A 25153-nucleotide genomic window follows, 5' to 3' on the forward strand; every position below is an offset into this window, starting at 1 on the left:
TAGTGGCCAGGAAGAACTGAAATCAATATTGGGTGATTTTTAATCTAGCTATATACATGCACATGCACTTTAAACAGTCATTTCAAAATGTTATAATAGGTTCCAGATTTTTTCTGTTATCCATCTATGTGGTAATCAGACCAATTTCTAGTCTGAAAGCGTCCTCTGTCTAAGCTTGTCTCTTTGCTGAACTCTCCTTTGTAAACAATGACAATAACAACAACAATAACCTAACATAATATTTTCCAAAACTGTTAAAAGCTAGGCCTATCTCACGTTGAATTCAACTATTGTTAAATCACAAAAGATAATAATGTTGTCCTTTATATTTGAAGATAATGATTCTGAATCACCATCAGCAGAATACTTGCTTGGAGCTATTTTTTTTCCCAGTACTGATACACACTCTCTCTGAACTCCTGAAGTCATGATTATCTGTATCAAGATATAGCAGTGCATTACATTCTGCCTTTCCTTATTCTCTAATTGAGCCTAGATACTAAGTCTGATCTTACAGGAGCCATACTGAATAAAGGCTGCGATACTTCTTTCCTAACACTTCTCTTTTCTCACACCCATCAGTTAGTAGGGTATAATACACATAAACATTTATATTATACTTGCTGATTAACAGTGATGCTGGATTTGTGTTAAGCCATCTCAGCTCTCTCATCGTGCTCCTATTATAACCAGTTTTAAGATGGTAGGCTGGGACTAGAGATGTAAGTTATTAGAAATGAAAGCAAAATAAAATGAAACAAAAAACAACTAACATGCAAAGGCAAGTTCTTCTTTAGAGAACTTAATTCTTCATTGATCTGGGGCTGGTGACAGTATATACTATGGCTAGTAATTCATTGGATAGAACAAACTGTAGCTGAATTGGTAAACTATCTTTATGGGGTGATTTCCAGGTCACTGAAATCAGTTTTAATATTTATTAATCAGCTGTTATCATGCCATTATCAATCAGGCAATTCTCTAATCACAAGACAAGGTGTTATACATCTATATAGAAAAGTTCTTAATGGATTCACTCAGGGGCAAGACTATTTAACGGTATTACTTTACTCAGAGATGAAAGATTTTGCTCATAAATGTCTTTGGGGGGCTTCTTGAAACATCCTGTATAATTTGAAGGAAAGGGAGATTAGATCAAACACATATGGTATGAATTAATGAATAGACTAACAGTGTACTAGAAAAAAGTTAGGGAAGGTTATATTAGAAAAAGGTTAAATATTTCATTAAATAGTTCAGTACTTATTATCTTACTATTTGATCAGCTTAATAGATCAACAGTGAAGTAATTACTATTTCTTTAAGAAAAAATTGGCACAAGCATATCTGATTTTCCAGAAATATATAAGGAGAAGATAAATAAGTACATTGAGGAATATCAAAAGTCGTAGAGAATTTAAGGCAGAGACTAACAGTAGGCTTCATCTTAGTAACTGGGATAATTTCACATGCATTATGACACAGCTTACGAACCAAAGCATTACAGTATTCTGGTAATCACTGTTCATTTGTCACTCACATTTTAAAAGCTAGCAATAGTATATGAAAATATGTTTTTGGCTCATATCATTTCTGCTACATTTCCTTGCAAGTCCACTTTAGAAGCTAGCATCTGCCTTTCTTTTCACCCAGCTCTGTCCACTTCACCTGTAATTGCCCTCTGTGTTCCAGTCACATGGGATTTCTATTATTCACTTATATTAGTCATTCTTTCTATCACCCCTAAGAATTAATTACATTTTGTGATAATTGCTTGTGTTGCCAAACCCCTTTTCAAAATTGACAATCTCCAAAATGTTGTGAATCAAGTTATTTTAGCTCAACTTTGTATTCCCAACACAGCATGAGACTAGGCATATAGATAATAAACTTAATAAGTGAAAAATGCTGAAGTTTTAAGATTATGACATTACTGGTTAATCTTATGTCCCAAGCATGCAGTCTACAAATGTGTTTTCTTCCTTTAAATAATTAAGAAGAATTGGAAAACAAAATAATACAACTACTTAAGTTTTTTAATACAAAATACAAAATAATACAACTACTTAAGATTTTTTTTTTTTTTTTTGTAGTGGAGAGGATGATATGAAAGGGAACTGATTCCACCTATTTCAAAGCAGTTTAACATATAGATTCCTCCTCCCCTGATTCTAGCCAGGTTAGAGGAAAGATAACAATGGATTTGGAACCTATTGTGATGTTAATGTGTGGCTTATTTGCCCTAATATATGAATGCTTTTTATGACCAGGTTATATGTTTTTCTCTCTGGCTTCATAGAATTAAGACATTGCAAAATAAGCATCCTCTGAGGTCTCATACCTTAGGAAAAAATGAATGATATTGCTTAAAATCTACTGTGGAGTGGGAATGAAGCATAGTAAGAGTCAGTTGTAAGAAAGAATTGGTTTGTGTTGCAGCAAATTTAAACAAGAGATGTGGCACACACATGCACACGTATGCTCATTGCGGCATTATTCACAATAGCAAAGACTTGGAACCAACCCAAATATCCAACAATGATAGACTGGATTAAGAAAATGTGGCACATATACACCATGGAATACTATGCAGCCATAAAAAATGATGAGTTCATGTCCTTTGTAGGGACATGGATGAAATTGGAAATCATCATTCTCAGTAAACTATCCCAAGAACAAAAAACCAAACACCGCATATTCTCACTCATAGGTGGGAATTGAACAATGAGAACACATGGACACAGGAAGGGGAACATCACACTCTGGAGACTGTTGTGGGGCATGGGGAGGGGGGAGGGATAGCATTGGGAGATATACCTAATGCTAGATGACGAGTTAGTGGGTGCAGCGCACCAGCATGGCACATGTATACATATGTAACTATCCTGCACATTGTGCACATGTACCCTAAAACTTAAAGTATAATAATAATAATAAAAATAAAAAAAAAGAAATGTGGCATGCATGTGACAATATTTAGGTAGGCATGAGTTTATCATAGAGACAAAATAAAATCCTAATTTTGTCAGAGGTCATTATATAGATTTGGAGATACAGAATAGAATCATTCCTACATCAAAATAAAGTGAAGAAAATTATAGAAATAATGGGGGGAGGGCACTGAAGTTATATAAGAGGATAAAGAAAGGCCATAATGTATAAATCCCTACCAGGAGCCAGGCACTTTATGTCTATCTTACTTAATTCTTCCACCTCTATGTGAGCTAGGTGTTACTCCTTTAACTCCATTTTACAGATGGACTAATTGAAGATAAGTGAGGTTATGTAATTTGTCTAGAGTCATGTAGGTTACATGGGGAGAAATTGTGTTCTCCTTTATAGCCATTCAAGTAGATAGTGGCATGCTAAAGCTGGCTTATACTAGCTTTTAAGGCCAATTGAGAAAGTTTTAGAAATTCTGCGATTTATTTATTAAATACAGCCATTATTAAAATTGAATTCTATAAGTTTAGAATTAATAAATGATACTAAACACAAATGCAATAGCTATTCAAACCTCATTACCTCCAAATTACTTTACTACAGTTTACTATTATTTATAATCTTGAGGTTACTTGCATCCCTGTGTCTGTATTGTAGAAATATTATAAAATGGTGTGTGATATGGCACATCTCTTCCCAACTCTGCATTCAGTAACATCACTTGGTAGCTTGAAATCAGCCATGGTGGGAATGTTTATACCATGGAAACCGGCAAATGGTCCAAGTTACAGGTTGATTTATTGCTTAGTTCATTGTCGAGACTTAAGAAAATGATGAAGTGAATATTAATAGGGATTAAACGTAATGTGTCATGTCTGTGGCCATTACATTAATGTCGACACAAAAAATTGGGGAAATTTTCTTGCAGTATTCCAAAACTATTCTCCGATTCAGCAAAAAAGTTGCACAGGTTATTTTCATCTAACTCATTACCACAAAAATATCATGTCTTATTCGAGTTAGAATAATCCTCATAGGTAGAATACAGCTCCATGTGGAACATCATGCATGTCACATGCATGGATTATAATCATGGGCTGGTTACAGATACATGATTCTGCCAAAAATCAGTGAAAGAATCTGTGAGAAGCAACTGACTATATGGAATTTACAATAAAGATAATTGCATATTTTCTTACTATTTGTAAGTCTCATTATACACAATTTTTTTTTTTTTTTTAAATTTGAGACCGGGTCTCACTCTGCCGTCCAGGCTGCAGTGCAGTGGCGTGTTCTCGGCTCACTGCAGCCTTGACCTTCTGGGCTCAAGTGATCCTCCCACCTCAGCATTCCAAGTAGCTGGGATGACAGGTGTAGACAACCACATTCAGTTAATTTTGTGTATTTTTTGTAGAGATGGGGTATTGCCATGTTGCCCAAGCTGGTCTTAAACTCCTGGGCTCAAGCAATCCATCTGCATCAGCCTTACAGAATGCTGGGATTACAGGACCAAGGCACTATGCCTGACCTACACACATCCTTTACTTCAGTTAAATATTTAACAATTCACCACTAAATGTATCATAGTGAAGCCATTAAAATATTACTTAGGAAGACTGAATAAAAATATGGAGACATTTTTGCAAGGTATACAATTGATTTTTTTAATGATATTGTAAAATAAACACATGGAGATGGTATGGTTATGTGAAAATGAAAGAAGTTTTGTGAGGAGGGTAGATAATGTACAATTGATATACAGTACAAAGGGAAAAACTATAGAAAATATAAGTGTTTAACAAAAGACTGTTATGATGCAGAAAAGCATCTTGTAATGTTTCTTCATGCCAATCTTATAAAATATTTTGGAAAGAAAGGGAGGGATTTGTCATAGAATACAATCCTATACAGACCCACAGACTATTATTTTGCTTCATAACCATATATATATTTTTTTAACTTTTGCCTCTAGAACTATAAAATGGAGTGTGTTTCTGGCCTTTCTCTCTATCTAATAGCAGCATATTATTTTGCCTTATTTTTTCTCATTAATTTTCATTTCCTCTAAATTTTAGTACACATATGGAAGGAGCAGATCTCATCTTTTCAAAGTCAGAAGAGATTCTCTGGGGGAAACAAAGTTTTCTCAAATCAAAACAAATATGAAAACAAGGAAACAAAATATGCTTTGGGCAGCCAATTCTGTGACTAAGATAATATTTTAAAAAAGTAATCCTGCTTTTCCCCAGAAATGTATGAGAAAATCTTTCTGCAAATTTCAAGCACAAGCAAGTTGCCTCCCAAATTGGCCATTTGCACTCCAGGGCTAAAGCTGAAAGCGCACAGAATTGCCTGAGTAATTCAATTGCAGGCAGAATCAATGCAAGTGTGAACGCTGCCCTGGTCAAAGGTTGGCCCTTAGGCTGCAACTTAAATCAATTTTGGGTAAGCTAAGTTTGATTACATTTTCAGTGATGAAGCTTTCAAAAGCAATTTTGGGCTTCCCTATTCAGAGGCTGTTTGGTTCCGTTCTGAATCTATACTCCTGGTTAGAGAAGCATCTATCTGTCTCTTTTGGTGATGATTAAGTCCTGGAGTTGAGGAGAAATAAGAGGAAGAAAATAAGAGGAAGGGATACAGAAAGTAAAAATAAATAAATAAATAAATAAATAAATAAATAGGTGAGAGCCTATCACTAATGTGAGTCAGTAACGTAAAAAAAACTTTAAAAAATATATGACTATCACAACAATAAGACAGGGAAAAGAATTAAGGAGGATGGTAACAAGGAAACGAAAATAATAAATGGAAGATTTATCATGATGGTGATATGTGGCAGCCTAAGATTATTTTAGCATGTGAGGCTCATTCTTTCAGGTGTTGCTGGCAGGAAGAATGTTAGAGAAATACAGGTGGTTCTGCAGAATGAAGCAAAATGGGTGTAAGAAAGGATGTCAAATATGGCCTCCAACAGGCACATGCTAGCCTGAGAGAAATAAACCCTTTCAATTTATCCTTTTCCAGCAGAGTCAAGCCTGCAGAGTTGATGTGCATCTATCACTTATGCAAGTCTTCCTAAAAAATGTGTTTACTTAGTTAATGTTAGTCAGTTTGATTATAGTTATTATCTACAGTTTGTATGCATATCATAAACTAAGTGCTCCCAAGGAGTTATAATTTTTTTGAGAAAATACAAATTTCCCTATAGTTATGGTCACTAATTCTTAGAGCAAATACTATTATTCTGCCCGTTTTAGGAAAACATATATGTTGTTACTCTTGTCTTAGGAAGTGTTTTAGAAAACTTGGAATTCATTCTAAGTGGACTGATTAGTGACTTTAATGGTTCTTCAGCAAGAATTATGATCTGCCTCACTAATTAAGCAGCTCCACATATGCACTAATTGGATTGACTCAAAGAAAGGAACCGAAGATTATGCAACTATCTAAAAAACACATTTGAGAGCTAGGAAACTGAAGTTGCTTCATTTCTTTAAAACTGTTGAAAGAGAAGTGTTGCTTAAAAATAGGCTAAAATTCGGAAAATCCAACCTACTATAAATGCCTGGCCAGAGCATAGGTGAAATAACATTTCCATGCAAGCAAGTCTGGCTTGGTTTATTCAAATCTTGTCTAACTATATACTGGGTGGATAGTTAATTTGTATCTCTGCAGAGAAATCCCAATTGAATTACATTTATAAAGAAAGGAAACCCTGTCCACACTGAATAGACACATTCAATGAGGACATGCCATTTTCAGTCTTTTCCCTAGCAGTTTTATGGATTCTAAAACTGAATTTAGAGTGCTTTAGAGAAAGAGTGGCCCACTGAAATATTATTGCTTTCACAGTTAATTCCTCCTCTTTTTACCTTTATCTGGAACATCAGAATGGCCAAAAAAAGAGCCAATTTCAATTTACTTTTTCGTTTAGTGGAGTACCCTAGTAACTATGTTTCACTCTGACTAAAGAGAAATAGGAAGTTTAATCATAATGATACTCAGACCTTCATAATAATCATTTTGTTCACACGTATTCCTGGATCTTTTATTAGGGGTCACATTTCCATTTTCAGAGAAAGAAATCACAGCACAGAAGCGAAGATGATACAGTGGCCCAGACTTTGCCACCTTATTACGTGCTCAAACCATTGGATCCCACTTTAGATGGAGTCAAAATTACAGGGAACACAGTGCACGCTTGATAAGTATGCTCCAAGAAACTTCTCAGAAGTGCTGGGAAAGAAATATCTCACAGGACCTCCAAAAGGCTTTGTAAGAGAAAAGATCAGGAAAGTCATACTGAAGAAAGACTCTGTTAATCTGTTTTCTTTTGACTGGAAATGTTGGCATGTTTTCATTTTTACAAAGTCCTAATAGTCACAACGCCATATACTCAAGTCACATTTTGGCCTAATTAGTTATAGGATTAGAGCTGTGTGAAATAAAATAGCAAGCAAGAATGTCTATTCTAGTGCCTTTTTCATAGGTTACTGGCCAAGGTTGTTGCAACTGTGAACATAAAGGAAATTTCTCTGGAGAGTAAAATTCTGTGTAGAGATGACAAAATGATTAGGCCAGCAGTGCTCTTGAGCTAAGTTTTATGGAAACTCACTACAGAGACAAGCACATTAAGATGCATTTTTTTGTCGAATAAAAATAATTTTGAGTTCAATAACAAAAATATACAGAAGGTAAAAATATTGGCAGCACTTCTACTTTGTTAAGGAGTAAGTTTAACTTTAAAAAATAACAATCAATCAATACATACTATCTTTTAAACATGCATAGATTTCTTAGGATCTGAAAACATTACAGCTGAAAGGTAACATGGAGACTAGTTAGTCTAGTCCCCTCATATTATAAATTGGTATGCTGAGGCCAGGCAGTAAATTGCTATGGAGCTCTCCAATTTAAGGCCAGTTTGACTCCAAGGGTAGGGCTTCTAGTAAAATTTTGTGATTAAATTGGAAACTCTAATTTATTTTTCTATGTGTTTTTGGTACCTAATCCTCATAAGCAAGCCATATTTCAAGGCTGATCAATGACAACACCAAATACCAAAGCTTCCTTTCCCTTCCAAATTTACTGACCCTTTGTCAGCTGTGGGAAATGTATGTGCTGTACCAGTAGCTTGAAGATGCCACTGTCAAATTGCCTCAATCTGGGAGAAACACATCAGTAGAGTAATTAATCTTGTACAACCTCTCCATCTTTTTTTTTTTTTTTTTTTTTTTACTCATTACAAGTGAATGCTTATGTGCATGGCTGATTTAATTAATAATTGTAATAAAAAGGACAATATCATAATGATATACATAGTGCATTAACAAATGAATCAAAGGACCAGTGCTGCTAATTTGTCTATCCAGTGAAATAAAGTTACACAGTTATTCAGGTTATATAGATCTGTGCTTGCCTGTGTTTACCCTTCAACATTTGAATTATACATGAGAAGGACAGAAGAGGAAACCAGCATTTAATAGGCACTTGTTTTAGACTAGTAGTGTATTGGCCATTTTGCATGTCCTCTCATTTAATCTTCACAATAATCCTATAAAAATAATTTATTTTCCCCTATTTTATAGGTCAGGTGACTAAAGTATCTACAATCCTTCATGAAGGATTATAGTTTTAACTTGGATCTGCTCGATTCAAAGCTTTTGGTGTTCCACCTGTGTAGTGGGAAAAGCACTGGAACAAGGGTAGTAAAAACGAAATTCTAGCCCTAGTTATGTTGCTTGACTTTGGTCTCTGACTCATCCTATTTGGGTTTCAGTTTCCTCACCTATAAAGTGAAAAAACTGGTTTAGACAAGAAGTTTTCAAAACAAATTATTTGGAACTGTATGACACCTTGAGAGGCTTCAAGGCCGCTATGTAATGTGATGGGTAGGAAAATAAGATTTGTCTCCAACTTAACCAAACTAACTCCAGTTTTATCTTTGTTATACATTAAGAGTTTGCATAGGTTTTATTTGGAGGAATAAAGGGTTTCATTGCTTAAGAAAGTTGGAAGAATTGACTATGTAAAATCTGAGACATCTTCTAGCTCCAATTTCTGTCAATTGACAAACGTAACTAAAGCTCCGCTAACTGATATGTGGTTTTCACTAGAGGCAATTTGGTGACCTGGAGCACCATAAACTTCAACAGTCACTCTGACTGCTTCAGCCTGCTGGTTATCGTCTCTCCCATATGCCACTAAATGACCATTTGGTGTCTATCTTCTTGAAAATACATACATGTTCCAGGTATGAGATTGAAGAGGTAAAATATTCTCTTGCTTTACTCATACTACACTTCAGCAAATTTGTATACTTTCATGACTTATGTGATGATTATGTCTGTGTGTGTTATTTTTGTTTGGTAGAGAACGACTTGATAGGCCTGTGTAGCTGGATCAAATTCTGCCTACAACTGCAAACCTAATTTTTGTCAAATATTTATTACCAGAGCACCAAGGAAAGCCTTCTCATTAACATCTCAAAGCTGCGAGGATAAAGCAGGTTGTCTCACACAGCACTCTGTCTTCAATAATCACCAAGTCTAAATTTATTACTGCCTCTTTCAACCAAAATGAAAACCCCATCTCCTTTAAGTTGCAAGAGGAGAGATAAATTTCTATCTAAAATGGGAGTCATTCACATCTGTGGTATCACCTTTCAGGGTTCATTATAATAGGTAAAAGTAACAGAGCCCATACAGTTGCTTACTGGCATGTGGGAACATCTGAAGCAAGCAGAGAGCTGAAATATTACTTGCAAGGACACAGCTAGTTTCATATTCAACAAATCAGTTGAAAGGTACTGTTCGCTTGCATCGGTTGAATCTAACCAGGGAAAAACAGTTACATTACTCTCTCTTACTTTCTCCAGTAGACTCTTCCATTTCCTTTTGGATACTAGCTACTGACTTCTTTTTTATCTGAAAAGAAAAGAAGCCCATCACATTAAACAGGCTGGGAAGAAATTTTCTCTGATATGAAAGGAGACATTCCAGAAAGTTAAAAAGCCCTGACTGCATAAAGCATTTAAAATTGGGACTTCATTATTGTCTCCACAAGGCTGCTAAGGCAGGGAAAAGACAGTTTTGATCGGTCCTTTGAATGTGTTATGTGTAATATTTCTGAGACAAATGCTTTGTTACTTTGAATAAATGCATACACGAGTACACACACACACACACATGCACACACACACACACACACACACACAGATATCCCTATAGCATCATTAGGACTTGTAGAACCTATACTACAGTAAAGGATTTGACACTATATTTTTAGGTACACCTGAGATGGGAGTTTAGCATCCACACATCATAGCAATATTATCATTACCTATTTTGGGACTCTAAGCAATGAGTCTTCATCAATAGTGAGACTCAATTTGTACCAAATATTTCCATATATTAGGTCTCAGGAGAGGGTTGTATTAAACTAAGGCTGTGTAAATTCTAAGCACTTTGCTTATGCAGCTTTCTTCCATCTTAATTAATTCTATTTCCCTTTAGATGGCAAGTCTTTGAATACGTGTCTTATAATAAATATTTGTACTTTTGTGGAAGTGAGAAACAAAGCGTGTACAACATGTTTTACTTATAGAAATAACTATGTTTTACTGATTACTGAATTCCCACTAAAGTGATAGCATACATTTGATGAATTGAACCCATAGATGGCAGGATGGGACCACTCAGTTCATAGTCTTTAAAAAACAGACTTGGAAGAAACATTTTTTTAGTTGCTCATGTTCAGGAAGCAAAAAACGCACTGAAAAATAACAATAAAATAACAAATATCTTTGAATCCCCAATTTTTTATTTAATAAGAATTTTGCTATGAATAGTTGGCATACTGTCATCCATTATAAATTTTGTTAAAGCACTTCATTCCTGAGGGCTAATATACAGTGATCTGCACAATATTCTCTCTGCCTTTCCTTCTCTTCCCTTCCAATTTTGTACTTTTTACAACATAGAAATCTTTCAGGAATTTTTGGACAGAGAATCTAGAGGATGAGGGATCTTCATTGTATACTAGCTTTCCTGTAGTTTTTCCACCATAAAGTTTGCTTTCTCTTTATTTTAGAAAACATACATTTTTACCTTAAGTAATTTAAAGTAATTCTATTGATGAAATTACTAAAACCTCTACTTAAAATTATAGGTCCTCTTACAATTACTGCCTAAAGCCTACAGGCCATGGAAGATAAAGGGGTTTAAGTTGTCTTCATGTTAAATCAAAACTTTTGCTTATTTCCCTCGCACCCAAAGAAGATTTGAGAAAGAGGCAAACAAGCTGAAAATGATGGAGACTTGCAGAAAAACAGAAAACATTGCAAGTTCACTATAGTATAGTTCATCAAATGTTAGGGTGTTGTATCTTTGCGGATCAGGGAGCTGCTCATATACACACAGCCATTGGGCCTATTAATCAGAAAGCAATCCTAATCAGACCAGCAGCTAGACATAAAGGCATAACATCAGCCTTGTCTTCTTCTTTTCATAGCCTAACCTCTGAAAAGCGCAATTTATTATCCATGTCTCTATTTCCTCATCTATTTATTTAACCTTAATCCACAGAAATCTGGCTTCTACTCTCAGTTTTACACAGAAACTGCTCTGGCAAAGGTCACCAGTAACTAACTGCCCAAATGTCAGAGACAGTGGTTGATTTTCAGATGTTCCCTGAGTAGACGTAGCACAGGACAGTGCTGACTCTTCATTCTTCCTAAAATGGGCTGCTCTCACAGCTTTCACAGCACTCCACAGTGCTGACCCTCCTCAGGCATCTCCATCCACACTGAATTTGCTTGCTTCTGCAGGATGCTTCTCTTCCTAGGCTCACTCGATGCTAATTTTACTTGGATTTCTGTTCTTGGTAATCTTATCACTCTACATGGCTTCTATGAGAAGTCTCATTTACTCTCATGGCTGAAACTATCACCTCCATTCTGATAACTTTAAATCTATGTCTCCATTCTGGACTTTATACCCAGCTACCTATTAGACATTGCCTCAAACTAAAAATATCTAGAAATGACCTAATTTTTTCTTTTAATTTCTACCTCCTTTTAAAATCTAAAAACCTTAATTCTTTTCTTATGTACTTATTCTGGCTAATTTCATGCAAACTAAACATTAGCAGTTATCTAGATCCTTGCAACTCCCTTCCTTTTCTTGCCAGATTTGGTCATTAATGGCTATCTCCTAATTAGCTCTCAACTCTCTCACCTCTGCTACTCTTTTTGGTGCTATTACTATTATTGCTATTTTGCCTTTAGAATTAAAAGTTTAATACTGGGTTTAGCAGTCCACAATGCCTAAGAGTGTCTTTTGGAAACCAAATCTGTTTGTATCATTCCCTTGTTAAAATCCTTCCGTAACTCTCCAAAACCAGGATACAGCCAAAACTCATTTCAACTCTCTCATCTTCATCGTGTCAACTTGTCTACCCTCATCTCTCAATACTCTCCTTCTACCTTTTATTCTAGCCATTTTAAAGTACTATTGTGTCTTCAAATGTATTGAATTGTTTCATACTGCCATGTCTTTACATGAGCGGTTCAACACTAGAGTGCTTGCCTCTCTCTTTCTTCCATCACCATTCCCACACCCAGGCTCATCCTAATCACCTTTACCTCAAGGGGCATCTCCTTTATATTTTTCCCTGAGTCCTTGAGACTGACTGAGTTGATCATTCTCTTTTTTGTGTCACTATACTTTGTGCACATGATTGTTGTTGAATGAGCTCCTGCAAAGTTCTGCCCCAGAAAGTGAGATAGTCATTGCTAAGATGATGTTTTGAGTTGTACCTTAGATATAATTCAGATAGTGGTATTGGCTACTCTAGATAAAAGTTCTTTCATGACCCTTGAGACTATAGTAAGAGCACCTTCTCTGCCCCATTATGGTACCACTGACCTTATTGCATTATCGTTGCTTGCTTGACTGTTTCTCACTTCTCACTCATCTGAGAACTCCTTCAGGATGGGGTTCCAGTCCTACTCACCCTTTTCTTTCCAACATCTAGTGCCGTGCTTTGCCGGGTGTAGGCATTGTAGATAAAAGCTTAGAATCTGAAGCCAGATTGTCAGGGTTTAAGGTTTTGCTTTGTCACTAACCATTTGGCTTCAGCCACATTTATATTCTCTAAGTTTCCTTTTCTAGAAGAGGAGAATTACAGAATCTAGCTCTTTGGATTTTGTGAGAATTAAATGAACAAGTTTATATAAAAAATAAGAATAGGGTCTGTTTCAGAGTAAGCTAACAATGTGCTATTTGTAATTACAGTCATATTGCCTTGTATCTGTAGAGGTTACAAGTACAAATTCTACAGCTAAAACTCATTCACTCATTTATTTATTCATTAATCCATCCATTCATTTACTCAATGTTTAATTCATTTATTCACTAAAGATTTACTCCTTGCTTATTAAATAGCAGGTGCTGTGCTTGGTGATATGGGAAATAAAATAACTAATCAGACATAGATCCTGTCTTTTTAAAGAACTTATAATTTGATGGAGAGATGGAATATATATAAAAATAACTATAAGACAAAATAAAAATGCTTAGTGCAGTAAGAGCTTCAGATGAGGTCATACCAGGGGTTCTGAATATATGAACATTTTTTCAAACTCCCAGGGCTATGTTCATAATTACAGACAAGATTTTCACATTTGCCTTTATTAACAAATTAATCAAATTGTATGTACTTAATAGCACCTCAGCATACAGCAAGTCAATGGCAGAGAGAGATGATGAGAGTCTCTTCTGAAGGCACTACGTTTAGAAGCCTTTTCAGCACTATATTATTTCCAGACATTTGTGTTAAGATTGCCAGAGTAAAACAAATGTTTACACAAGTGGCATTTGTTCCTAATTTTTCACATTCATTAATGTTTCAGTTTTGAAAATCAGAATGTAATTTAGAAATTTAAATAGCAAAACGTAATATGTTATTAAGCCTTAAATTTTTCTTTACTTTGCCGTGTTAATTCATTTATTCTTTCAAGTGCTTGAATATTTAAACCATTTAAAATATTAATAATATACCAAAGAAGTATCAATATTTACATTAAGTTGGAATTCACACTGCTTTATAATATTTTCAATGGTTTATATTATTCATAATTTCACTAAATAAATCATCCTCATGGAAGGAACTTAAGCAAGCATATTATACTATAACTATTGCATGGCAAGCAATGTTTTTCTTTCAAATCGAGTGCTAAAGGATATTAGGCTGGGATAATAAAAGATGTAATATAAACTGATATGTTTTATTTCACATCAGCATTCTTAAATTATGGTAATGTAAAGCTCATAAATCATGGAAACTTATTACAGTATATTTTTAAGTTGTAGGAACATCATATATCCCATCCCCATTTCTGCAAAACAGAAATGATATTTATGATGAACTATACAATATTTGCATTTTTCAGAGATAGCTTACTATAACAAGATCGTAAGACAAATATACATTTGTCAAGTTACCATAAAATATTAACTCTAAGAGATAAGGATAATTCAGATAACTTTGTGGCACTGAAAAGACAGTATACTCTCTCTAGTCTTCTTTGAACATTTTGAGAAACATTTGATTTCAAAATTAAGAATATTTTGTGGCTGCAACAATTTGTTGGTTACTCAGCTTCTAAACAGCAGTAAAATTAATTATAGGAGGAAACATTCATGGAGGTTTCTAGCCTTTTACCCGATCCTTGTGTTTGTGCTTCTTTATTAATTTTTAGTCCTTAGGAAGTAAGATACATTAGAAATGTAGTATTTATTTGAATAAAATCTTAAGTTTTATTTTAAAATACAATTTTGAGTAAAAATATTATCTATATGGATAAAATATTTTGTCCATGATCATTTACTTACTGTTTCATTTTATGTATGGCTTGTGAAATTCTGGCTACCCCAAGATGAATGTTTTATGAAAACCAACCAAGAGTAAATTCAAGCCATGTTAATCTATACTTCAAGAATATGCAATACATTTAAAAAACAACAAAATCTCACCAAATCTACTGACTTCAGCCAAAAGACACTTTTTCAGTTAGCCCTATTATTTATGTATTTTTTCCTTTCTCAGCTCTAACATATTTTTTTAAACACATGTCGACTTCTACAGGGATTATAAAATCCTTGGACAACTATATGATTTGGGAGCAAAGTTTCCATGTGTAAGGATTGCGTGATGTATAAGGAATGTGTCACATCAGGTTGAGTTTTAAAATGAACGTACTCCATTCTTAGGTTTTATCTCTACAGATGGATAGGGGCCCAGAGGCCCCTGGAAGCATTTTGGTACCATTGCATTACTTACGGTTAAGAGGCAGGCTCGCATTGGTTGTGCCTAGCTTGTTGGCAGCCACACAGGTATAATTGCCGAAGTGCTCCTGTGTCACGTTGGTAACAGTGAGAATGGATCTTGTGCTAAAATTTTGAATAATAATTCCTTGTTGGCCATTGAAGAGCCTAGAAGACAAAATAAGCTCTAGGTAAATATGTATTGTGAATACCAGTTTCATTTTTTTATCTTAGCTGGGGTTGTCATGGCAACCCATAGACAATTCAACTACGCTGACGTTAGCATATAACGTGATAATGGTGCAATTTACATTTCACTTACATTAGTAGATTTGGGGGAGGTGAGGTTGCATGTCAGCTGTAGATTGTTCCTGTGGGATTATTTGTGCTATATAACAAACTGAGCTTGGATAGCTACATGTCCTATTTAGGCACTGTTACATATTTTAGAAAATGAAACATACCATACCAATAATATCTCATCTATTAAAGTCAGGAAGGAGTTTAAGGGAAATAAATATAAAGATTCCACGGAAAGTACAAACTGATGGTTTCTAGGTAAGCTGGCGAGAGTATGTCTGGGTCATTTCAGACATTATTAAATAACTCCCTTGAAAGTTAACCCTACAACTGTGATAGGATAGTTCTGAGTCCAGAGTCAACACCACTTTACTCTTGTACAACCCAGACAGATAACTTCCATTAAACCTAAAAAGAGACAGTCATATAGTATTGGAGATAGCATTTAAAGTTGAGTCCCATCACTGTCACATTTTAGGAATGTGCCATGGAAAGACTTTAAAACTCTCTGGACTTCAGCATGGGATTCAGCTATACCCAAATTCAAACTAATTGTCCAACAGTCTCTGGATTTACCACCAGAGGCCCTCACTCTGAAATAGGCTGACATGGCTTCACCATTCTCAATGCATGTTGTACCTACTTCTGCTTCACCCTTTTTCTAAATCTGTAGCCTATCTCTTGTACCTTCTATTTCTGCTAGTCAGATTCTTCCTTCCTCATTTAGGTCTAACCTAAGACTTATCTCTCTTTTTCTAATTTATCTTAAAGGACTCTTATATCTCTCTCTGTATGTTTCTTTTGTACTATTCTCTCTAGCAGTTTCCATATATACAAGTCTTTTCAAAGCAAATACATTGAATTGTTTTAAATTCCTCAAAAGGAAAGGCTAAATGCACATGCTTTCTCTGATATTTGAATCCTACAAAGCACTTAATAGTGATATCCTATATACATAATAAATAGTACAAAGGTCAATGGTATTCAGGTGATGTTCCCCCAACATAGGCATTAGTAAGCCCGCTTCAGTCACCTCTTCAAGAAATTATCTCTTTAAATATAAATTTTCCTACAATGAGTATGTCAACTTGATAATAACTTCTACACAATTTACCCCAAGTTTATTGCAAAGGAGATGCACTGATCACAACATAGGCTATGTAAACTGATAGTCCAAATGGCATAGTAGTTTTTCTCTCTTTAATGTGTTCAAGTTTTTGTATTTTTTTAAATTATGAAAATGCTAATAAATGGCATCCCCTGAGAGTTCAATTTGAACTCCTTTGCATTATACTGTGTGGCTTGCACCTGAATTTAGATGAAATATACTGTAGTTAAATGCAGATTAAAATGAGCAGTCATACTTGATTACTCTGGGAATTACTTATATTTCATGTAATAGCTGAATTTGGCTTACCCCAAATGCAAACTTTAATCAGATTAATAAAAGTGTGAGTTAAATAAACATTGAACAAACTTTAGCTTGAGCAATAAATTTAATGATCTCCAACTCTGACATAAGATAATGGGGCATAAAATATCATGGATATGGCAGCTTTTATTCTTCTCTCTCATATTTTTAGCCTAGCAACATTTATGCTAAATTCCCCTAGTCATTATTATATATTTTCTGCATCACATTAACAACTTCGTTTTTAACTAATCCGTATATATGCTGTGTAAAAAACCAGTTTCATTGCCTTGCAAGTTTCAGCACTATAACTTGAATTTGCCCGCATCTTTGTGATAGACACATTCTCCAGAGGACTCAGAAACTCCCTAGACTACTAAATCCCTGTTGTGCTCCATCGACCAACAGTAGGACTATTTACCTGCCGAAGAGTTGAGAGAGAAATTAACCAGGGCCTTCAACTGGCTAGACCCAGGGGAAATACTTGAGGAAGTAAATTCAGACACTCCATGGCACTATATGCTTATGTTCCTTATGGCTGTCTTTCTGTCTTTCTGGGTGAATTAGCTTCCAGTTCCCTGCCCTTAAATGTATCTGAAGGCACAGCCACAGATGTTGCTGAATCATGTAGCGCATCCATACTCTGTATGTGTGGGCCCATTTTGGGCCTCTGGCCAGCAGTACCGTGTGCATCCTTACCAGAGTGGAGCATTAGTGCTCCAACCCCTGCTACTCGGATCAGCCAGGCAGGTTATTATGGCCAATAAAAAAGAAAACTAAGTTCCCCGAGGTAATTTTCTTCCCTCTGGGGAAAGCTACTTTTCTGAAATTACTAGAGAAATCTAAAGCTTACTTTCTTCTGCAGTTGTGTGTTTTAGAAGTGCTAACTCCTCAAACATCACGTAAGAACCTATCTTCATCTGGTAGATGGCTGGAAGAAGGACTTTGCAAAGCTGACTTTGTGGGAGAGTGACTTCTGATATGGTGTATATGTCTAGAGAATGTACTTTTGTGATTTTCCTGGAGAGTTCTGGGGTATGAAGACGGGCTTTCTCAATTATTCAAATCAATTCTGAAAATATTCATTAAATTGCTACAAAGATGAGCTCTATGCTGGCTGAGTGACTAGGGACAAGACTGGGCAACCCATGATCTCTGCTCTTGAGAAGGTCAGAGCCAAGGAGAAGAATCCAGCACATAAACAGGTGTTTACAACAGAAGGGTATTTTGGTCACTGTGGGGAACTTGTTAATATAAACATATCTACCCTTAATTACTGGATATATAAATTTGAGCCACAGCTAGAAGCTCCAGCATATATGACCCTAATGTGATTCACTCCTTGACTAAAACCAAATAATGATAAAAGAGCTCTCTAATTGATGACATGTTTTTCTTTACAAAATTGATTTATTCTAATATGATTGTCTATAACTTTATTTCTGTAAAAAGAATCATTCTTATATTGACTTAGATTATACAATGAAATATGCTTTCTTATAGCCCCTGCCAAACCCTGCCCCTCCCTGCCACAAAAAAAAAAAAAAAAAAAAGAGAAACAAATTCTGTAGAGCTCGGAGTTAAATATGACATCCATTTCTTCAGCATAGATCAGTACTATATGGTGCCTACTTGGAAATACCTGGTCATTTTTCTTCATTGCGTTTTTATCATAGGGAATATAGTTATAAGATCCTTCTATTTCTGTGGACCCTGCTGTCCTCTACTCTCTGACACCAATAGAAGTTTGCTCCACATCGAGAACCATAACTCTCGCTCCTCTTCTCCCTTCTGGCTTTTGCCAATGCCTCATAAATCTGTGAACCACAGGCTATTTGCTTTGCTAGCCAAGGCTGTCAGCTCATAAGTAACACAGCCCAACCCACTAACTAGTTCTGAATTAGAATAGTCCCCTATATTTTCTAGTGTCAGTCAGAAGTAGCACATGGAAAGCCTGCTGATAACTACAGATACTTATATTTCTGACTCACAAAATGGACAGAAACTTTACAGTCATAACCTCCCTCCAGGCAGCAGCTATCTGGGATGACCAGAAAAGCCTGCAGCAACATCACCCCAAAAAACTGGCCACATAGCCATCAGCACTGATTGTTAAGATTACAAAAATATTAATAAATGGAGCAGCTACACTGGACCTCATTCATTTTATATATAAATCCAGTCTCAATCCACATTTTAAGACTATTGTTCACTATCTGTCTTTCCAGGTCAGGAATAACAACAGATATCTCTAGAGAAACCAACTTGCAGATGAAAACAGCCTCAGAAAGACTTCATTCCTAATGTAGGACATATATATTAAGAAGTATCAGACAACATTTTAAATATTAGAATAACTTGGAATAAGAGTGAGGGAGGCATTCTCAAATAATGATAAATCTTTTATCAGACTGGAATTATGAGAGAACATGATAATGATATATCATTTTATATGAGTGGGTAGATTAATATGGTCTTATTAATCAATCTTTGGTATTAGATGGTGGGGGAAGTTAACCCTTGAATCATAAAAGTTTTATTTACAAAGACAAGGAATGTTAATGTCAGCAATAGACTGTAGGCTTGTAGAATTCCAAGATGTTGTGTGAACTAAAGATACAGCTCAAATTAAAACAAAAGAGAAAGATTTAGAAGAAGTCATGAGTGATGGTAGAACTCTTACATGGACTTAACAAAAATGAGGTTTTATTTGGTTATCAAATTACGATTAAATGCCTTCTATGCTGAAAGAGAGTTAGGAACCATAGAGGAAAATTATGACATAGTTATTACCTCAAGGACCATAGTTCTACCTGAAACTCTGAAGATGACATGAAGATAGCATACAGGTCCCTTCCACAACACATCCTATAATGCCTTTCTCAAGGATGGAGTTTTATTTATATATATATATATATATGTCTCTCTCTCTCTCTCTCTCTCTCTCTCTCTCTCTCTCTCTGTGTGTGTGTGTGTGTGTGTGTGTGTGTGTAGGCTGTGAATCAGACTGTATTTCTAGTCTTTTCAATGTGACCAGGAATGCTTTATGTATGTGGGACATTTTATCTGTTCTCAATACATTTATGACTGAAGTAATCTCATACTAAAAATTTTCAGCATTGTGGCTGGGCATGGTGGCTCACCCAGCACTTTGGGAGGCTGAGGCGGGTGGATCATTTGAGGTCAGGAGTTCGATACCAGCCTGGCCAACAGGGTGAAACCTCGTTTCTACTAAAAATACAAAAATTAGCCAGGCGTGGTAATCCCAGTGGGCGCCTGTAGTCCCTGCTACTCGGAGGGCTGAGGCAGGAGAATTGCTTGAATCCAGGAGGCGGAGGTTGCAGTGAGCCGAAATCCTGCCACTGCACTCCAGCCTGGACAACAGAGTGAGACTCCATCCCAAAATTAAAAAAAAAATTCAGCATTGTACACAATAATGTTTCGTGTTACGAGTGTGAAAAATCGACACACAGAAAACTTTAAGCATGTTGAAATGTACGTATCAACAAATCTTCACAGCAATCCTAGGAGGTAGTTGTTATTAGTCCCATTTTATAGGTGAGAAAACAGACATTTAAGAAGATTAGGTTAATTTATCTTGCACCATCTGACAAGTGGCAGAATCAAGATTTAAATATAGGTCCTCTGACTACTGGTACCCTCCGAAAGTAGCAACTGACATTCAAATCGCTAAGTAGAAACCAGGATATTGTATCTAAGTTTGGAGAGACAAATCAGAAATCATGGATACTTCAAGAAAATCGAGTCAAGCCAAGGAATAAAACCAAGGGAGCTAAATAGCCAAGTGGTATGTGTCACCTATGCCAGGAAAGCCAGGTTTGATCCAGAGGTGAGTCTAATGGGTAAAAAATTAACTAAAAAAATGATACTATCTGGATATATCTCTGGACCAGAAGCCTCTTGACTATGTATTTGGGGCTTAGTTATGTCTTTCAGTGCAGGCTTTTAGAGCAGCTGTGTCTAGCTTCACATAGTCAGCCTTCCAGGCTTCTTGTAGCCTGAGATGAGAAACATAGAGTAGGTTCTCTCCTCCTTCCCTGCTCACACTCTCTCCAACTTACACACACTCTCAGCATCAATTACTGTTTGTTTTTCTTCCTCTAGGTTCACTAAATATTTGGATGGAAGAAAGTCCCTCCTCATAGTGTATATGTAGAATATAGTCAAGAATGGAAGAAAAATGCAACCTATCCAAATGACAAGAATGCAGTATTTTAGAGTAATCCTAAAATTCTCTGTAAAGTTCCAGTTATCGTGATGGTATGGGGTTACTGTATTCTGCTTGGCTTGGCCAAATTATCATCATAACGTCAAATACTTCTTTTTCTAACATCATTTCAGCTTTAAGTTTTCATATATTTGTGTGATTTTTTATTAATATCCATCTTCCTCATTAGAGTATAACTCTGTTAGGGCAAGGTTCAAGGTTGATTTTGTTATTCACTGTATTCTAAGCATGTACTATAGTGTTGGATTCTGAATAGGTATAGAGTAATTGTTGCATGCTTGTCTGAATGAATTATGTTTTTATATTTTTGTAATTCTTAGTTTTTTCATCTGTGAAATGGGAGAAATGAAGCCAATCACAAAGTGTTAATGTTAAAATGTTTTTAAAAATATTTAATGTGTAATATTTATGTACATATATGCCAAATGCAGTAGGCACTAGATTATGATAGGTGTTATTGTTCAATGATAGAGTCTTTTTCCTAGAACAGATACATTTCCTCTCAGTTGGCAGAAAAATATTAAATATTGAGCATTCAGGAAATTATTTTTAAAGAAAAGATCTAGGAGAGTGACTGAAAAGATCATGGCATCCTGATTTCAAGATGTGCCAAACTCAGTATCAATTACATGTGCATCATCAATCTCATCTAAGCTTTTCACAGATTTAACAAAAAAGAAAAGTGAAAGGGAGGAGGAGGAGCAAGAACTGCTAGATACCAGAGAGAAACGAAAATTTATGTGAATATGCTGCTATGGCAACCTACTGGTTTATTGTGCTGCTTGATACTTAAGGCTTGAAAACAATATGATATCATTTATTCCTAGGAACAGGTTGAAGAATATCATGCATCACTGTCTTAGCCCCAAGGGGTATCTATCTTTAGTTGTGCATTTGAATAAATTAATGTTATTATAATATATTAGAACACTTTAATGAATCTAGACTTTATTAAGCTATTTAAAATGCATGTCTTATTTACTTTATCAATTTTAATGAAATTAATAATTTTAGATTAGAGATATTTGGGCTGCTTTCCTTGTGACAATTTGATTCGCATGGGAGGATATTCCCTTTTAACCCTACGTTAAATAAACAATGGCTACAGTACAGATGTCAAGCCTCCCTGACTGCTGTGAGTTCCTGTATCCCTGGCAACCTGGCCTATGACTGGATTTCTCCCCACCACTTGAACTATTTTTCTAATATCAATATGCCCATGATTTTAATGTAAAATATTACCCCATAATATAACAGCACAACCATTTCTCAGAAACTATATTCACAAAGAAAAAATCCTGAGAAGCCAGAATTGAGCAACAGAAATCAGCTTCCTTTCTCTGATCATATATTGGGTTTACAATGTCCTGCAATCTAAGGTGACAGGATTCATTTGTACTAATAGTCTCTCACCAACTTGAAAGTGTGTTAAAATAAGAATGGCTCTACTTTATATTTAGTAAAAGGCTATAACGCAGTCTTCCAACAGAGTGTATCATTCATGCCAAATACCATGATAAGCGTTGGGGACATGATAGTGAACAAGGCAGAATCCTCATTTCCAGGTAGATTTAGAGCTTAGCAGGAGAGATGAAAAAGTAAAATAGGTTGTGTTTAGTTTAATCAGTGCTTGTTAGATGTGAGCCCATGAGGGTACATTTGAAGAGCTCCCTCCCAGGTAGAAAAAATCTCGTTGTGGTAGCTTTCCTGGAGAAGGTGACATCCCCAAGGAGACTGAAGGACTAGGTAGTGGAAGGCTGCCAGCCAAAGGCAGCCAGGAATGGGTATGTGAGTGGAAGGGGCTTACAAACAAAGGAGCCAACATGTGAAGAGGCCTGAAAGAGAGAGCTCATATCAAAGTCTGGGAATGGAAATATTTCAGGATAGCCACAGCTCCTGTTGTGTGAGGGTAGAATGGCAAGATTCATAGCCAGAGTGGAATACAGGGGCCAGAATGTGAAGAAACCTACATACCACCCTCTGTTGTGAGGACTTTATTCCAGGGACAGTGAAGAAACACCGACAGGCTTCATACATAAAGTGTAAGATCAACTATTTATTTTAGAACGATCATTACGCATTTTAAAAACACAACCTAATTCCAGCTGTTTATGGGTAGACTCTGTGTGTGCAGTACTAACCCCTTGATTCTAGTATGTTCCAAACCGAACTGAGCGTGGTCCCTCCCTAAACTTTCTTCCTGTGTTCCAGCCTCAGCCAGTGGCTTCACTCTTTATCTTGTTGTCTAGATGGAAAACATAGAATTACGTTCAAATTTTCCTTTCCTTATATCCAATTAGTCACGGAAATAAGCAAATACTACCTTTCTTCTCTCTTGCTTTTTAACTGCATATCTAATACTCTAAGCCATATTTTAACTTTCCCATCCATTTCTTCCAACTACTCTAAGAAATATTTTGTGAAGACATACAAGCTGCCAACAAGCATACACAAAATGCTCAGCTTCACTAATCATCAGAGAAATGCAAATTAAAACCACAATGAAATACCACCTCACACCAGTCAAAATGGCTATTATTAAAAAGTCAAAAAAACAACAGATGTTGGTGTGGATGTGGAGAAAAGGGTATGCTTGTACATGACTGGTAGAAATGCAAATTAGTTCAGCTTCCATTTAAAACACTATGGAGATGTCTCAAATAAATAAAAGCAGAGCTACTATTTGGCCCAGCAATTCCACTAAACAAAGGAAAACAAATAATTATATTAAAAAGCCACTTGCACTTGTATGTTTATCATAGCAGTATTCACAATAGCGAAGTCATGGAATCAACCTGAGCATCCGTCAATGGTTGATTGGATAAAGAAAATGTGGCACATATATTCAGTGAAATACTATGCAGCCATATAAAAGAATAAAGTCATGTCCTTTGCAGCAACATGGATGGAGTTATAGGCCATTATCCTAAGTGAAATAACTCAGAAACAGAAAATCGAATACTGCATTCTCACTTATAAGTGGGAGTTAAAAAATGGGTACACATGGACATAAAAATGGAAAATAGACACTGAGGATTCCAAAAGTGGGAGGGCTGGGAGAGGAGTGAGGGATGAAAAATTACTTATTGAGTACAATGTTCACTATTTGGGTGTCGGGTGCCCTAGAAACCCAAACCTCACCATTATGCAATATACCCATATAACAGCCTTGCACATGTACCTGCTGAATCTAAAATAAATAAATAAATTAATTAAATTAAACTACTGCTACACACAAAAAAGGGACTAGATTGTTTTAGTACTCTTGAAAATCCCCTCAATAGCTTTCCAATACTTCTGGAATCCAGTCCAAATGCCTTGTAACATTTAAGACCCTCCAAGTCTTTCCCTAAGGTGCCTTTCTAGCCCTAACTCCTGTTATACCTGATTTCATATCCTGCACACCAAGACATTTAAAAACCTTCCGCATAATGCTTACATGACATTGATCACGTTCTTCTCTTGCCCATGATTATTCTTTTTTTTTTTTTTTTTTTTTTTTTTTGAGACGGAGTCTCGCTCTGTCGCCCAGGCTGGAGTGCAGTGGCGGGATCTCGGCTCACTGCAAGCTCCGCCTCCCGGGTTCACGCCATCCATTCTCCTGCCTCAGCCTCCCAAGTAGCTGGGACTACAGGCGCCCGCCACTACGCCCGGCTAATTTTTTGTATTTTTAGTAGAGACGGGGTTTCACCGTTTTAGCCGGGATGGTCTCGATCTCCTGACCTCGTGATCCGCCCGCCTCGGCCTCCCAAAGTGCTGGGATTACAGGCGTGAGCCACCGCGCCCGGCCGCCCATGATTATTCTTAACCCCGTGGAATGTTTGGAAGTGCTACTCATCCTTTGGCATCCAGCAAAAAAGCTACATTTGCCCTGAAGTATTCTGTAACCCTTTTATTTGAGTTGAATGGGCTCTTACTGTGCAC

The 25153-nt window shown here is 36.1% G+C and overlaps 1 protein-coding gene across 2 annotated transcripts in view; it reads right to left on the reverse strand.

Moving 5' to 3' along the window:
• Positions 1-25153, reverse strand: part of NEGR1 (neuronal growth regulator 1) — an 886597-nt gene that overhangs the window by 181589 nt on the left and 679855 nt on the right. The window contains exons 6-7 of one of the 2 annotated variants that reach the window (XM_011541200.4): positions 15286-15437; positions 8158-9869 (exon numbers count right to left, since the gene is read on the reverse strand). In XM_011541200.4, the coding sequence (XP_011539502.1) occupies positions 9847-9869; positions 15286-15437 (175 nt within the window). In that variant the 3' untranslated portion in view covers positions 8158-9846. Of the gene's footprint in view, positions 1-8157; positions 9870-15285; positions 15438-25153 lie in introns of those variants that run through there. The other variant, NM_173808.3, reaches the window with a different exon arrangement.

This window comes from Homo sapiens, chromosome 1, assembly GCF_000001405.40.
Source record: "Homo sapiens chromosome 1, GRCh38.p14 Primary Assembly".
In the NCBI taxonomy this organism is placed as follows: Eukaryota; Metazoa; Chordata; class Mammalia; order Primates; family Hominidae; genus Homo; species Homo sapiens.